Genomic DNA, 16,293 nt, shown 5'->3' with positions numbered 1-16,293 from the left:
ATTTTTTCCCCACTTTTAAAACGTTTAAAAAGTTATTCTGCTAGTCTTTGACATTTAACTGGAGTTTATTTGGACTGAAATTAATTGCTGACAAGAATTTATTTTCCTATTTTTGTTCTTTTGTTCTACAAGTTTTGTTATTGTTGTTGTTATATATCATTCCTCCAAAACTGCTCATCTTTGCATTTGTTTTTCTAGGGTACAATTTAGACTCCTTCATTTCTCTTCAGTATATTTGAACAGTTATTTTCTTATTGGCTATTAATGGTATTATAATTAATATCTTAAATTCATAATAATATAGTGTGAATTACAATAACTTAGTATTGACATTATACAAAAATCATTTTCCCATATTGCTCTCCCTACCTTTCTATGTTTTTTTGTCAAAAATTGTTTTTTATACAATATGTACTAACAACCCAGATATGTAATTATTGTTTTATTCTTTGTCATTTCTTTATTTTATTATTGAATTTTATTTTACTTCATTTGAGACAGGGTTTCAGTCACATAGGCTAAATATGGTTCACTACAGCCTCGAGCTCCTGGGCTCAAGGGATCCGTCCACCTCAGCCCCTCATGTACCTAGGACAGAAGTGTATGCCACCACAGCTGGATAATTTTGTTCATTTTCTGTAGAGACAGGTTCACACTTTGTTGCCTTGACTGGTCTCATACTCCTCAGCTCAAGGAAATCCCGATCCTTGGTTGGGATTACAGTTGTGAGATACTGTATCTTTCCTCTTGTCATTTAAATCTAGTAGAAAAATAAAGTCACAGAAACCCCATATACAATAATATTGGCTTTCCTATTTCTTGGTGTAATTACTTCATTGATGTTCTTTATTTCTTTATTTGCACATGAGGTGCTATTTTACTTTCATTCCTTACATGTTTTCATCATGTTTTGTAAGGCTGATCTAGTAGTAACGTACTCTCTTTAATTCTGTTTGCTTGGAAATGACTTACTTGCTCATAAATTTAAATTTTGGTTTGGACAGATATTGAGTTTATGATTGACTTAATTTTTTTTTATTTCAGCACTTTGAAGATCTCAACACAGTGACTTATTTCCTCCATAATTTTTAATGAGAAATTGGCTGTTAATGTCATGGATGATAACTTGCATGTGATCAGTTACTTCTGTCTTGCTTCTTTTAAAGTTCTCTATTTATTTGTCTTCTGTCAGTTTCAGTGCATGTGTTTCAGTGTGGATATCTTTGATTTTATTCTTCCTGAAGTATTTTTTTTTTCCTTTGGAGATATTTGGATCAGTAGATTTCCATCTATCAACACATTTGTGAAGTTTCAGCCACTGTTCATTCAAATATTCTTTTTTTCCCCTGTATTTCTCTTTTTTCAGTGAAACTCCCATTATGAATATGTTGATATTCTTGATAGAATCCCATGGCAACCTTAGTTTTGTTCATTATTCTTGTTCCTGTTTTTGTTTCATACACTGAATAATATCAAACAATCCATCTTCAAGTTGCCTCATTACGCTTTTTGCATGCTCACACAAGCTATTCAATCTTTCTAGTTACAGATTATTGATTTCATTTTTTAAATAATGTGTATGTCTTTATTGGTATTTTCAATTTTGAATCACTGTTCTACTGGGTTCCCTTAGGTCTTTGAGAACAGACCTTTGAAGGTCTCAATTCTCTTCTTTTTGAAGAGAATTGAAATATTTCCCTAGTTAGTACCATGCCTGGGCTTTCTGAAATAGCTTCTTTTAATTATGTTTTCTCTGAATGTGCTTTTTTTGCATTTATCTTTGAATGCCTTTTATTTTATTGTTGAATGCTGAACACTTTGCATATTATTCAGCATACTCAGATAACAAATTCTTGACCTCCACAATTGCTTAGCTTGTGGGTTGTGTACTTGTTTAACAACTCCTTACAGCTAGTTTTGTAGTCTGTATTCTTTGTCATGTGTGGCCACTTAACCTGTGTTCTGTCATCCTTTTGGTCATCTACTATCTTTGACACATTAAAAAAAATCATAGGAAAGAAAAGAAAAAAAGGAAAAGAAAGAAAAGAAAAACTATTCAGAATTTGCATATAGACTTTTCAGGAACTCTAGTGTTTAGTCAAAAGTCAGGGAAAAGTGAAAAGTTTTGGGGTCTTCGCCATGCATGCATCCAAAAGTGGACATATTTATATCCTTCTAAATATACCAGTAGGAGTCTGGGTGTGGTGGTTCATATCTGTAATCCCACCAATTTGGAAGGCTTGGAGAACAAATCACTTGAGCCCAGAAGTACGAGACCAGCCTTGACAACATGGAAAGACTCTTCTGTATAAAAAAATACAAAAATAAGCTAGTTTTGGAGGCCCATGCCTGTACTGTGAAATGCTGAGCGGGGAGGATTGGTGGAGTCCAGAGAGGTGAGATGCTCAGGAGGCTGAGGTGGCAAGATCATTTGAACCCAAGGAGGTTGCCGCTGCAGTAGGCCATGATCCTGCCACAGGACTCCACTGTGGGCCACAGGGCAAGTTCTGTCTCTATTTAAAACCCAATCCAATATAAACAGCAACGAACTGTGAGAATTTTTCAAAGCTGATTTTCCACATCACTTTTCTTCACCAGCCACTTCTTTCCAGGCATTTTGTTTGTGTACTACTTGACCTGACTCTTATTCCTTGCTATAGGTGGCTCTGACTAGTATATTTCCTTTCCGCAAATGCCTCCTGGGAGTCAACTTCTGCACCCAAGAAAGCTCTGAGGTGGGCTAAAGAAAAGACTCTGAACTGAAAATCTCCAAGGGAACCTCAGACATTTTAAATCACACAACCGCAATTATTTGAAATAAGTTCTGTATTTCCACACATGCATCAAAATCTGCATCTAGAATTTAATCTTATTCACGGTTTCCATGAAGCCATGGAGTGGGTGATGATGGGAAGTTAAAATGCCACATACTGTCTTGCCCAAACTTAGAGGTCAGGTCTTTCTTCATTAAACGCACCCTTGAGTGACGTTATTAGATTCCAGAGCTCCAAAAATCAAGTCTGAGGTTGTTGTCTCTTCCTTATATCTCTTCACTTTTAACCCAATTAACTTTAATTACAGCGTAAAATAGAAAGTTGATTAAATCTACCTTGCTTTTTAATGTTCGGAGAGGTATTTTTTGAGATGGAGTCTCACTCTCTCACCCAGGCCAGAGTGCAGTGGTGCGATCTTGGCTCCCTGCAGCCTCTGCCTTCCAGGTTCAAGGGATTCTCTTGTCTCAGCTTCCTGAGTAGCTGGGATTACAGGCATGCACCCCCATGCCTAGCTAATGTTCTTATTTTTAGTAGAGAGGGCGTTTCACCATGATGGCCAGGCTTGTCTCAAACTCTTGACCTCAAGTCATCCACCTGCCTCAGCCTCCCAAAGTGCTGGGATTACAGTCATGAGCCATCGTGTCCAGACTGTTTTGTAAGATTTTATTTGACACTGCTTCCATCATTATCATGAAAGCCATTCTGTCTTTCATGTAATAAGTAATAGTTAAGAAATACATGTTTTTGTTAGCAACTTATAAGTGATATGACTTTATTGTTTTCCAAATTATTAAGAGTTCAGTTTTCATTTCACCATAGCATGGTAGTTGTTACAAAAAATTAAGTTCCATCTTGGGTCAGTTTAATCTCACAGTCTCTAACTAAAGTATTTGAGCGTAAAAATTAACTCTCTAAATAGACTACGTAATGTGCAGCTCATGTATTATTATTACATTAGTGGTGTTTTATATAATTAAATGTAAGGATGGTATTTTAGGACATTATCATACTCATCTTGTAGAGTCATACCCTCCTAAGAAGACAGAGTTACACTAGGTAGTTGTAGGCATATCACCATAGAGTTCAAAAGACACTCCTCAGATTTCACTAGGAAATGAGAAGTGAAATGTTACGACTGTTCTGGAAATATGGCCCTAACCAGTAAGGAGAAAGCTTGTGACCTCTACAATAAAAGGAATGATAAATAATAAATTACTTGAGATTTTTCCATGTTTGTTTCCTGTATTGAGTTTTGAATAATAAAAAATGTAAATAATAACTGTAATAATACATTTAAGTAATAAAAACGTTTAAGTAAATTTTAACTATTAAACATTTATATTTATTTATATGAATTAAATGGTCAATGTACATTTCTTTATTCATATAACTTCAACAGGCTCTCAAGTATAGAGAAGAATATGTCAAGTTCACACCTCTAAATGTCTTACAGCTAGGATGGATACAAATGGAAGGAGTGAGTGAAAAAATAACATAAGCTTATCTGCAAATCAACTAAAATATTGTTTCATAAATACTATGTAGACTAAGTATTCAAAAACAATACTGAAATTACAAAGTTGTATTATTTATTATAATATTAAACACTTAGAGAGAGGTTATTATATCTCAGAATTTTAGCTTAAAATGGTGGATATAATAGTAAATAACACTGAAATGGCTCCTCACTTCATAAAGTAACAGTTAATAGTAAAGCAGAAAGGATCAAGAATAGAAAGGAAAAGACAAGAGATGTGTTTTATTCATTGAAAAGTAGAATAATTCTAGACCCTCAATGAAAAATGAATTGAACAAGGTAACACAGAAGAAGGAAGTAAATTAAGATGTTGATACTATCATTTAGGGAACAATAAATGATGACCTCACCTTTAATGCATAAACAGCAACAAGAAAAAAAAAACATTTGTAGGTGGTAGATAATAAAAAAGTTGTTATAGATAAAATATGAAAGAGACGAGGGAAAATAATTGGACGTGGAATATCCCCAGTTTTTATGTTATACAGGTGATGTAGTTTTGGACAAAAAATGATGGAAGAGAGAGGCATGTAGAAAGTGTAAAGAAGTTCAGGGGAAGTTTTAAATTTAGCTCTCTTAATCTTGGGTCACTCATCAGAAAAAGGAAAGCACAATGTTAGAAATTCAGAGATCATATCACTGGTTGAATTCCGATCATATCACTGGTTGAATTCCTTAGTACTACAGGTTTAAAACTTAAGAGGCTTTTGTCTCAAAACAACATCAACAAAAAGCCAGGTGTGGTAGTGTGCATCTGTAGTCTCAGCTACTGAGGAGACCAATGCAGGAAAATTGCTTAAGCCCAGCAATTTGAGGCTGTAGTCAGTCAAGGTCTCACTACTGCACTGCAGACTGCGTTACAGAACACTTTCTTAAAAAAAAGAAAGGAAAGAAAAGAAAAAGGGAAGGGAAAAGGGAAAGGAGAAAGGGAAGGAGAAAGAGGTATTCTGTGTAGTTATATTAGTGGTCTAACAAACAGACATCTACGAGATAAAATGAAACAAAACACACTGACAATTAAATAGAGAAATCAGACGAAAGTTGAGTCATGTAATCCAAAGCAAAATAGTATTTCAAGAATGAGGGTGTGAATCAGTTTTACAGATACACACGACTGTTTGAGTAATACGCAATAGACAAGTGATATATGGGATTTAGTGACAAGTATAAGATATGATTCCAAAAACAGGGTAAATGCCTGAAGAAAGGAGAGTTAAGAAAAATAAAATTAAACCTTGTCACAGGCAACTCTTTCCATGAGTCTTCCTATCATAGAAAATAAATAAATGAGTTGACAGTGGCATATCTAGAACTAAGACAAGCAGCATGTAGATCTAGTAAAGAAAATGATCAAATGGGGTGTGGCATCTTACACCTGTAATTGCAGCACTTTGGGAGGCTGAGGTGGGGAATCATTTGAGGTCAGTTTGAGACCAGCCTTGGCAACACGGTGAAACCCCATCACAATTATAAGTTCTAAAACTAGCCAAGCGTGGTAGTGCATACCTGTAATATCAGATACTCAGGAGGCTGAGGCAGGAGAATCAATCACCTGAATCCAAGAGGCCAAGGTTGCACTGAGTCAAGATTGTGCCAGAGACTCTCTCTCAAAAAAATTAAACTAAACTAAAATAAAAAGAAATGATCCTGCAGGTAGAGCAAAGAAGTAATGGTACAAGGAGACAACAAATAATAAGCAAATCAGTGTTTTAAGAAGCTGGGAAATCCAAAGCAAAGGCGAAGAGGGTCATAACAAGGAGCAGTAAAAAATATACACAAATCTACACAAGTTTTATTTTTGGTGGTGATTTCTCAGGAAAAAGAAACACAAAAGAAAGTGTGAATAAGAAAGTTGTCACCATTGCCTTGGTAGAAAAAAATGGAGAAAAACCACCACCAACAAAATAATGTAAATTATACAATGTTAAGATCTAGTGTTCTTCATCCCTTCCCATGGTGTTTGTTTCCTCAAGAAATAACAGAAGCCAAATATTCAAAATAGAAGGAAACATTAGCATATATTACTGTCTACATATATTAAGTCAAGTTTGTTTTAACTGCAATTCATTCTTTTAAAATTTGTATTTTAAATTAACAAATATAAATATTTATGGGACACAAAGTGATTTTATAATTCATGTATATATTGCAAAAGAATTATATTGGGCTAGTTACCATATCCATTACCTCACATACATACCATTTCTTTCTTTGTGGTAAGAATATATAAATTCTACATTTTAAACAATCCTTATTTTTGAGATAGAGTTTTGCTCCTGTTGCCCAGACTTGAGTGCACTGGTGCAAACTCAGCTCATTTCAACTGCCACCTCCCGAGTTCAAGTTTTTCTCTTGCCTCAGCCACTCGAGTAGCTGGGGTGAGATGTGCATGCCACCAAACCTGGCTAATTCTTATATTTTCAGTAGAGACAGTGTTTCATCATGTTGGCCAGGCTGGTCTTGAACTCCTGACCTCTACTGATCCTCCCTCCATGGCCACCCAAAGTGCAGGGATTTCAGACATGAGTCACCATGCCTGTCCTTTTTTTTATTAAACAATTTTTAAGTTGACATTTATTAACTGTGATCACCATTCTGTGCAAAGGATCACCAGAACTTCTTCCTGTCTCACTGAAATTTGTTACCCTTTGATGAACACCTCCCCTTTCTCTATCCACGCCCATCACCACCCCACACTCCAATCTCTGACTACTTTTTGTGTGTTTGTAGAAAGAGTCACGGCCTTGCTGCATTGCCCAGGCTGGAGTACAGTGACACAATTATGGCTCACGGTGGCTTCAAACTTCTGACCTCAAGTGATCCAACCACCTCATCCTCCCTTAGTGCTGGAGTGACAGGCATGAGCCACCACATCTGGCATATTCACAGTTTGAATGAGTTCAACTTTTTTAGATTTTACATATAATAGTGATCATTCTATACTTGTCTTTCTGTGCCTCTCTTATTACACTGAGCATAATATCTTCCAATTCCATTCATTTTGTCACAAATAAATAAAAGATCTTCCTCCTTTTTTAAGGCTGTATAGTATATCTCATTGTGTATATGTGCCACACTTTATCTCTTGATGTGCACTTAGGTTGTTACCGTATCTTGGCTGTTATGAATAATGCTGAGATGAATATAGAAGTGCAGATATCTCATTGCCATGCTAATTTTATATCCTTTGAGTACGTATCTGGAAGTAGAGTAGCTGGATTATGTGGTAATTCTTATTTTTAATTTAACTGTATTTTTGAACACTCAATTCTATGACCCCAAAAGCACAGACTAGAAAAGCACAACAAAAAACAATTGGATCACATTACATCAAACTAAAATGTTTCTGTACCACAGAGGGAAAAGGGTGAAAAGCAAATGTTCACTGATAGTGTATATGCTATATTACAAGCACTTATTAAATTAAAGGTATAGGTTCCAAAATGTACTAGGTGAAAAATGTATTATGGTTATTTTTTCTGCTTAGTTTTTGTAGCCAGATGGATTTTTCATTTTGTTTTGTTTAATAAGCTGTACAATTATATTTAAGAAAACAAAAATTATTAATGCATAGTCACATTAGAAAAATCAATTTTATTAGAAACTACTTCCAAGGTTTTGTTGTTTATATTTTTTATGAGTATCTTTATAAAGTCACACTCAGCCTCTTTACTCTTTGTTCTGTGAAAGTATATATGGATATTGCATACTCACTTATTGAAAATATCCTACCCTTCTCCATGAGTGATAGTAATTCCTCAGCTGCTTACTTTTATTCTTTTAACTGAATTTTCTCCAGATGCTTACACAATATCACAGTGCTTCTGGATGATTTTCAGTATCTCCTGGCAATACTTTGCCCGACCACCTTGGTTGCAAATACTGACAGAAGCGGAGCTTAAAGCCAAAGGCTAATATGTAGGTTTTGATGAACTACACGGCAATTATTGAGTCACAACACTTCGGTAAAACGTTCCCTCCAAAGAAACTAAATATCAATATTATTATCACATTTTCTAAAAACTGAAATCTGTAGTGTAGGATTGTATGTCCCACCTCGTGTCTCTTATCAATTCCTCATTTGACAGCTGCAGTTTCACTGCTGACAAGCAGGAGAATTGATGGCAGCATATACTAGCATGATTAAGATAAGCATCCATACTTACCCACCATGCTGGAATTATTTTTTGTGTTGCTAGGAAGATGAGTTCCACTTTTCGAAAACTCCAGCCATGGTGTCAACAATAATACAAAATATATGATTAATAGAAAGTGTAAGCTCCCCTGTTTCAGAGATGCAGGGAAGAATGCCAGAGTCACTACAGGTGAGATAATCACCAACGAATGCCATATCATGAGATAGATCAATTTTATCACCTGTAGCTTAATGGCAGCAAAGTCGTTGCCAGTGCGGATGGCCAGTATATTGCAGTGAATGGCACCTACACAACTGATAAGAGGGAATATGTCATCAGCAATGCTATTAAAGATAAACATGAAAATGCTAGAGAATAATTTTCATTAGTAATGGCCACTTTCTCTTTTAAACTTGCCAAGTTAAGATATATTTCTCCCAACCCACCTCCTTCGGAAAATAATTTACATACAAAAAAGAAAGAAAAAAAAAGATTTGTTATCTTTCCATTATCAGGGATTTAGTGAATATATGCATGCAAAACATATAAAATAAAGAATAAGTGAATACACACATACACAAATTTATAAATGTATATACACATTCCCTTAAAATAAAATAACTGGAACTCATGAAATTGGATAGAGACATTTGTATCTGACGTTACAAGGTGTGACAGCACCTAGAAAGAAGTCTCAATTAAGAACAAATAAAATTGCGTGAATTAGATCTTGAAAAGGTAGTTTCTTTTTTATATAAAGTTAGAGTGTAAAGTAGGAAATTACGGTGTAAAATAGGAGGTGAATGCAATATAAACTGTGTTTTAGACTCTGGTGATAACAGGAAATCGGAAATAAGCTGTGGAGTTCAAGTAAATTCTGGAAGTGGAGCTGCCAGATTTTGCTGTGTGATGGAATACAAGGTACTAGAGAAGCAGAAAAATTAAAAGTTTTAGAAATTAAGTGATTTGTGTGGGCATGTTTTTGTTTGTGTGTACTTAGGTAATTTTATCAGAAGTTTTTAATACGAAAATTAATTTAATTTTGACATTGTTATCCCAATAATTAGACTAATATGCACAAGGAAGAAAAACAAAATTATGTAGTAGCTGTATAATCAGTTTAAACAATCTTCTACTACATTCAGTTGAAAGAGTAAAAATTCATTTCACATATACAGAAGGGTTAAAATAATACAGTCTTCATACACAATGAAATGAAGCCAGAAAACAAAAAGAGGCCAAATAGTCTTTACTCATCTAAAGTAACTATTCATTTTCTAACACCATTTAGAAAATGAATATCGAGAGTCCATTTATTCCTTCAGGGATACCCAAAGAGAAACTCTAAAGCAATAACATTCTTAACTGCATTTATGAGAAATAAGACTGAATAAAAAGAAATGATCTAAAAGTTAAATTTTAGAAAGTAAATTTTAGCTGGGTGTAGTGACTCATACCTGTAACCCTAGCACTTTAGCAGGCTGAGGTGAGTAGATCACTTGAGCCCAACAATAACAACAAGAAAACACCAAAAATGTTATCCAGGCATGGTGGCACATTCCTGTAGTCTCAACTATTCAGGAGGTGGAGGTGGGATGCTCACTTGGGCGAAGGAGGTAGGCATAGTACATTTTGCCTTGGGACATTTATTTGCCTGTCCCCTTGCCCCAGCACTTTGGGAGGTTGATACCCAGGGGTAATCATGTAGACCAACCCCGGCAACAGATTAGAAACTATGATCTCCGCAGAATGGAGCTGAGTTCCCGTCAATATTCCCACTGATTGACTACAGTAACCTCAGACACTGAATAAAGATCAGAGGGCAGACCATGGAAGTTACAGGCCTTGAGTGCATCCAGTGCTCAACTGTGTGATACAGGTGCAACCTGGCACTGAGTCGACTTTGTCAGTCAAATTACTCCAGCCATGAAAGTCTGCTCATTAATGTTTCCCCTCGTGCTACCAGGGCTGAAGCTATCATAGGCTAAAATACCTTAATTTCCTCCTCCTTGCCCTGAATCTCCGGACAGCCTTACTGTGGAAGAAAGCTTCCAAACAAAGGCAAACTACAAACACTGCATTAGGCACCTACATCACTGCACAGACATTGATGCATAGTCACAAGCATTAGGATCAATGAGAGAAACATGACGGCATCAAGTGGTCAAAATAAAGTGCTGGTGGTGACTGACCCAAAAGAGATGGGCATGGACACAAGGCCTGACAAGGAATTCAAAATACTTGTTTGAAGACAATGCAGTGGACTTCAGCAAAACACAAAGAATTCTGAAATTTATCAGAGAAGCTTACAGAAGAGATTAAAATACGGGAGGAAAAAACAAACAGAAATCTTGAAGAATAAAACACAACAAAATAAAAAATGCAATTGACAGCAGTGACAATAGAAGTGGTCAAGCAGCAAAACTCAAAGGGAGGTCAATTCAAAATATACAGTTAGAGGAGAAAACATAAATAAGATTCATGAGATTAATGGGATAACATCCAAAGAGCCAATGTGTCAGACACTGGCATTCAAGAGTGTGGTAGAGCCGGGTGTGATGGCCCATGCCTGTATCTTCAGCACTTTGCGGGGCCAAGGCGGGTGGATCATATGTTGTCAGGAGCTTGAGAGTAGCCCGGACAATATGGTGAAATGGTTTATCTATTATAATACAAAAATTAGCCGGGTGTATTGGTGGACATCTGCGATCCCAGCTACTCAGAAACCTGAGTCAGGAGAATCACTGGAACTCAGGAGAATCACTGGAAACCAGGAAGTGGATGCTGCAGTGAGCCACAATCACACCATTGCACTCCAACCTGCGAGACAAGAGCAAACCTCCATCTCAAAAAAAAAAAGTGTAAGAAAAGAGTAGAAAGCTTATTTGGATAAATAATAACAGAAGCCTTTTCAAACTTAAATAAAATATAAATATTCTGCTATAGGAATCTTGAAGGCTTACAATCACATTCAATTTCAATAAACATATCCCTGTGACTTAATATAATCAAACCACCAAACATCAGAAACAAAGAGAGGATACAGAATTAAGCAGCAGAAAAAAAATAACATATTATAACGGGAATACATCCATACAAATAATATATGCATATATATAATACAAATGTTAATAGATCCAAAGGAAGAAAAAAATGCAAGATAATATTAGAAAAATTCAGCACCTTACTTTCAGCAATGAATAGATAATGCAGACAGAATTTAACAAGTAAACATTGGATGAAAATGCCATGTAGTGAAAATGCTAAAAACAGTTACTGAACTATCCATCCAAGAGCTATAGAATAAACATTCTTCTCCACTGCATACATGAGATATCTTTCAGGATATGTCATACATTAGGTAAAAAATCACATCTTAATGAATTTGGAAAGATCAAACTCACATAAAGTATCTCTTCTGAAATCACTAATTCATAAGTACATCAAAATTAAACAACATGCTCCTGAATAACCAATGAGTCAGTGAGGACATTAAAGAGAAAACACCATATTTCTTGAGACAAAAATAGAAACACAACACACCAAAACCTATGAGATTCAACCAAAGCAGTTTTAAGAGGGAAGTTATGACAATAAATGCCTTCAACTATGAGAAGATATCAGATATACAACTTGATGTTTCAATGAAGGAATTAGAAAAACATAAATCTAAACTCAAAAGTAAAAACAAAAAACAAAAACAAAAAACAACAAAAGAAAACAAAGCCCCTGATAAAGGAAATCAGAGCCATAAAAGAGATACCATAACTGATACCCAGAAACAAATTAATGGTAAGAAATCAAATCAGCAATAAAAGATCACCTATTAAAGAAAAGCCCAGGACCTGATGTATTCACTCTTGCATTCTACCTACCACAAAAAATAAACTGCTGCCAATTTTTTTTAACCTAGTCAAAACATAACACAAAAAGGAAGATATGGGAACTGTTCCAACTCATTCCATTGGGATGGCATTATTCTGATACAAAACCAGACAAGGATACAAGAAAAAAGAGAGAACTATGGGCCAAAATATCTGATAAACATAATGTAAAAATCCTCAATAAAATACTGGGAAAATGACTTATAATGCCCATTTAGAAAATCATTCACCGTGATCAAGTGAGATTATAGGGATGCAGGAATGGTTTAATACACTAGAATCATTAAATGTCATACATTATATCAACAAAATAAAGAACAAAATCTATGCAGTCATTTCAATAAGTGAAAAAAGTTTTGACAAAATTCAACAGTTTCACAATAAAATCTCTTAACAAATTATGCGTGGAACAACCGTAACTCAACACAACAAAAGACACAGACCCGAATAACCAGATAACACCACATATACAAGCCCTTAGCTAATATCACACTCAAAGGGAATTAAAAGTTGAAAGCTTTTCTGTGAAGATCTGAAGGAAGACCAAGATGTTCATTTTCACTACTTCTATTAATGTAATAATAAAAGTCCTTAGCCGGAAAAATTAGACAAGAGAAAGTAAGAAAAGCTACCCAAATTAGAGAGGAAGAAATAAAATTGTCCATACATGCTAATGACAAACTATGGAAATCCTTAAACACACAACTAAAAAGTAGTTAGAACTAATACAGAAGGTCAGTAAAGTTTCAGTTTACAAAATCAACATATAAAATTGGATAGCATTTCCATACACTAACAGCAAAATACCAAAAAAAACAACAACAACAACAAAGATTAAGAACACAATCTCATTCACAATAGGTATGGGGGATAAAAGGGAATAAATTTAACCAAGGAGATTTAAAAAATCTGCATTCTGAAATCTATGAAACACTAATAAAATGTTAAAATGACATAAATGAGTGGAAAGATATTTATGTTCATTGATTGGAAAAAGTAATATGGTTAAAATGTTTATATGATCCAAAGAAGTGCACAAGTTGAGTGCAGTCTCTATCAAAACACCAATGGCATTTTTCACAGAAATTGAAAAAAATCCTAAATAAATATGAAACCACAAAAATAAAACCATGAATAGCCAAAGCCATCCTGAAGATGTCAATGGGGTTAGGGATTGAATCCACAGAACTGGGCATGCCACAATGCTATAAACCAATACAACAGAACACAGTGAGCAAAAATAAATCTACACCTGTATAGCCAACTGATATTCTGCAGAGGTGGCAAGAAAACCAAATGAGGAAATGTCAGTCTCTTCAATAAGTGGTGCTGGGAAAACAAGAGAGCTACATGCAGAAGGACCTAATTACAACCCTATCTCTCACTGAATACAAAAATTAACTCAAATGGATTAAAAAGCCCGGTACAGTGATGTGCCCCTATAATTTTAGCTACTCAGGGGTCCCAGAAGGGAGGATCACCTGAGCCTAGCTGTTCAAAGCTATAGCGTGAAACACTTATGCCACTGCACTCTACACTAGGTAATATTGTGAGACCTCACCTATAAGAATACATACTTAAAAACATTTAAAATTAAAGATGTAATGACAACAGCAATCTGTCAAACTAGTAGAATAAATCACAAAATATATTTAATGACCTTGGTCTGGGCAAGAATATTTTTGGATAAGACTTCAAAAACACAAGCAAAAAAAATGCACAAACAGAAAAATAAGGTTACATCATACTAGAAAAATTCCTTACAGCAAAAAATAAAAATAAAATAAAATAAATCACCAGACTAATGTAATGAGAGCAAATATTTGCCAACTGTATATCAGACAAGGGGTTAATCAAAATGTACAAGGAACTAAAAACAGATTCAAAAGAACAAGAAAATAATAACCCAATTAAAAATAAGTATCTTCTGTTTCCCAAAGAATGTATATACACAGCTAACAGGTGTGTGTGTATGTGTGTGTGTGTGGCTGTGTATATATACACACACACACACACACACACACTATACATAAATATCTCAACATTTCTCATCATCACAGAATTGCAACCTCTACCTTCCAGGTTCAAGTGATTCTACTGCCTCAACCTCCTAAGTAGCTGGGATTACAGGCGTGTGCCACCACACCCAGCTACTTTTGTATTTGTAGTAGGGGTGGTTTCACCATGTCCTCTAAGCTTGCCTCGAACTGCCATCTTCAGGTGATCTGTATGCCTTGGCCTTTAAAAGTGCTGGGATTAGAGGTGTGAGCCACCATCCTCAGCCTATTGTAAGAAATTTAAGAAATGTATAAAATTTCTTAAATTAACCTTGTAACAAAGACAAATTTTGCCATGCACGATGGCACATGCCTGTATTCCCAAAATTTTGGGAGGCCAAGGTGGGTGGGTCACGAGGTCAGGAGCTTGAGACCAGCCAGGCCAATATAGTGAATCCCCATCTACACTAAAAACACAAAAATTATCTGGACTTGGTGGTGTGCGCCTGTAGTCCCAGCTATTCGGGAGGCTCAGGCAGGAGAATCCCTTGAACCTGGGAGCTGGGGGTTGCAGGGAGGTGAGATCACACCACTGCTCTCCAGCCTGGGTGACAGACACTGTCTCTAAACAACAACAACTACAGCAACAAAACTAGATGTGTTTCTACTACACGGAGATTTATTGGTTCTAATATTTTCAGGTGTTTTATTTATTTGTTGAGTTTTCTGGCTAATGTATTGTTCATTTTTTGTTGTTTCTGCCTAAGTCCTTTTCTTTCAGGAGATTCAGTCAATTAAACTTAAATTATCTCCAGAGTATGGCCCAAAATCACTTCATGCATTATAACTGGTATTAATTCTTTGGCTTTGCAGGAGTATTTATTGCCCTGCTAGTGCCACCAACTGCCCTCGCTATTACTAATTTTTATTTGCATAGAAGATTAAATCGTGAGATTGCACATTTTTGCATGTGTTTATAAACTTCTGCACTTACCTTTTAAAGAAAGGTAACACTTATCCCCAGTGACTCCTAATTCTATAAAATGTATATTTTTTATATATTTTACTATCTTGGAAGTCTAAATGCAGATCTGAATGAAATTAGTTCTTACAAAATTTACAGTACTCGTGAAAATCAGTATAGTAACAGACAAGTCATATGGAAATGAATTGTTTAGCTACATTTTGATATTCCAAGTCACAGCTCCAAATTTAAGGATGAGTAGAAAATCTACCACTAACATGTTAAATCACATGAGTTGACAAATAAAACTTATGAGATTATTTTTGAGCCATACTTTCTTCTGTCTCACTCTACCCTCATTCCTTAATTTAAGGTTATATTCATATCCCTCATTGCTATTTAGAATGCCCATTAGGCTGAATGAGAATAATATTAAAAGGAGCAGAAAAAAACCACTAACTAAATTCCATTTTCATTTTTTTTTTTAAAAGCTATCATTATCTTATGACTGATAAAAATTGAATAGGAAAATTTTCAGAATTGTGAAAACTAAATAAAACTAAACAGGGATGTATTTCAGTTAGAGGAACAATGATTATCCCATCCTTAATCTTGTTAGGGAACTATTTGTATTCTATTTACTTGTTGGAAACAGAATGAGAGACATTTGTGTCGTCACTTACCTCACCATAGATCCTAAAGGAAGAACGTGCCAAAAAAAGTAATGTAGCTTTATTTCTTCTAAAGTCTTTGTTGAAAAACATTAGGGTAATTTGATCCAAAAGTACTTACACAGTAATAAAGTTCACGGCAAATGACATCAGAATCTGTCAATAGCTTTTCAATTAATTTCAAACATATACAAAGCATAGGTGGCCTCACCACAACAGAGAACAGTTGAGCAGAGAATTCTGAAAGTAAAGCTCACATGGGGTCTGTGCCCAAGGACCATTTTTTCTTCCAAAGATAAAACTCCTCCTGTAATTTCTTTATCAGTCTCT

The 16,293-nt window shown here is 35.2% G+C and overlaps 1 pseudogene across 1 annotated transcript; it reads right to left on the bottom strand.

Annotated features, from left to right (window-relative positions):
* Positions 1–7,890: 7,890 nt before the first annotated feature.
* Positions 7,891–9,471, bottom strand: XKRYP7 (XK related, Y-linked pseudogene 7; annotated as a pseudogene). The gene has a single exon (NR_171027.1). The product of NR_171027.1 is annotated as an XK related, Y-linked pseudogene 7 (transcript).
* Between the last annotated feature and the right edge of the window lie 6,822 nt (positions 9,472–16,293).

Source organism: Homo sapiens, chromosome Y (assembly GCF_000001405.40).
Source record: "Homo sapiens chromosome Y, GRCh38.p14 Primary Assembly".
Lineage (NCBI taxonomy): Eukaryota > Metazoa > Chordata > Mammalia > Primates > Hominidae > Homo > Homo sapiens.
The sequence above is the reverse complement of the archived record's forward strand: the minus strand, read 5'-3'. Positions and strand labels throughout refer to the sequence as shown.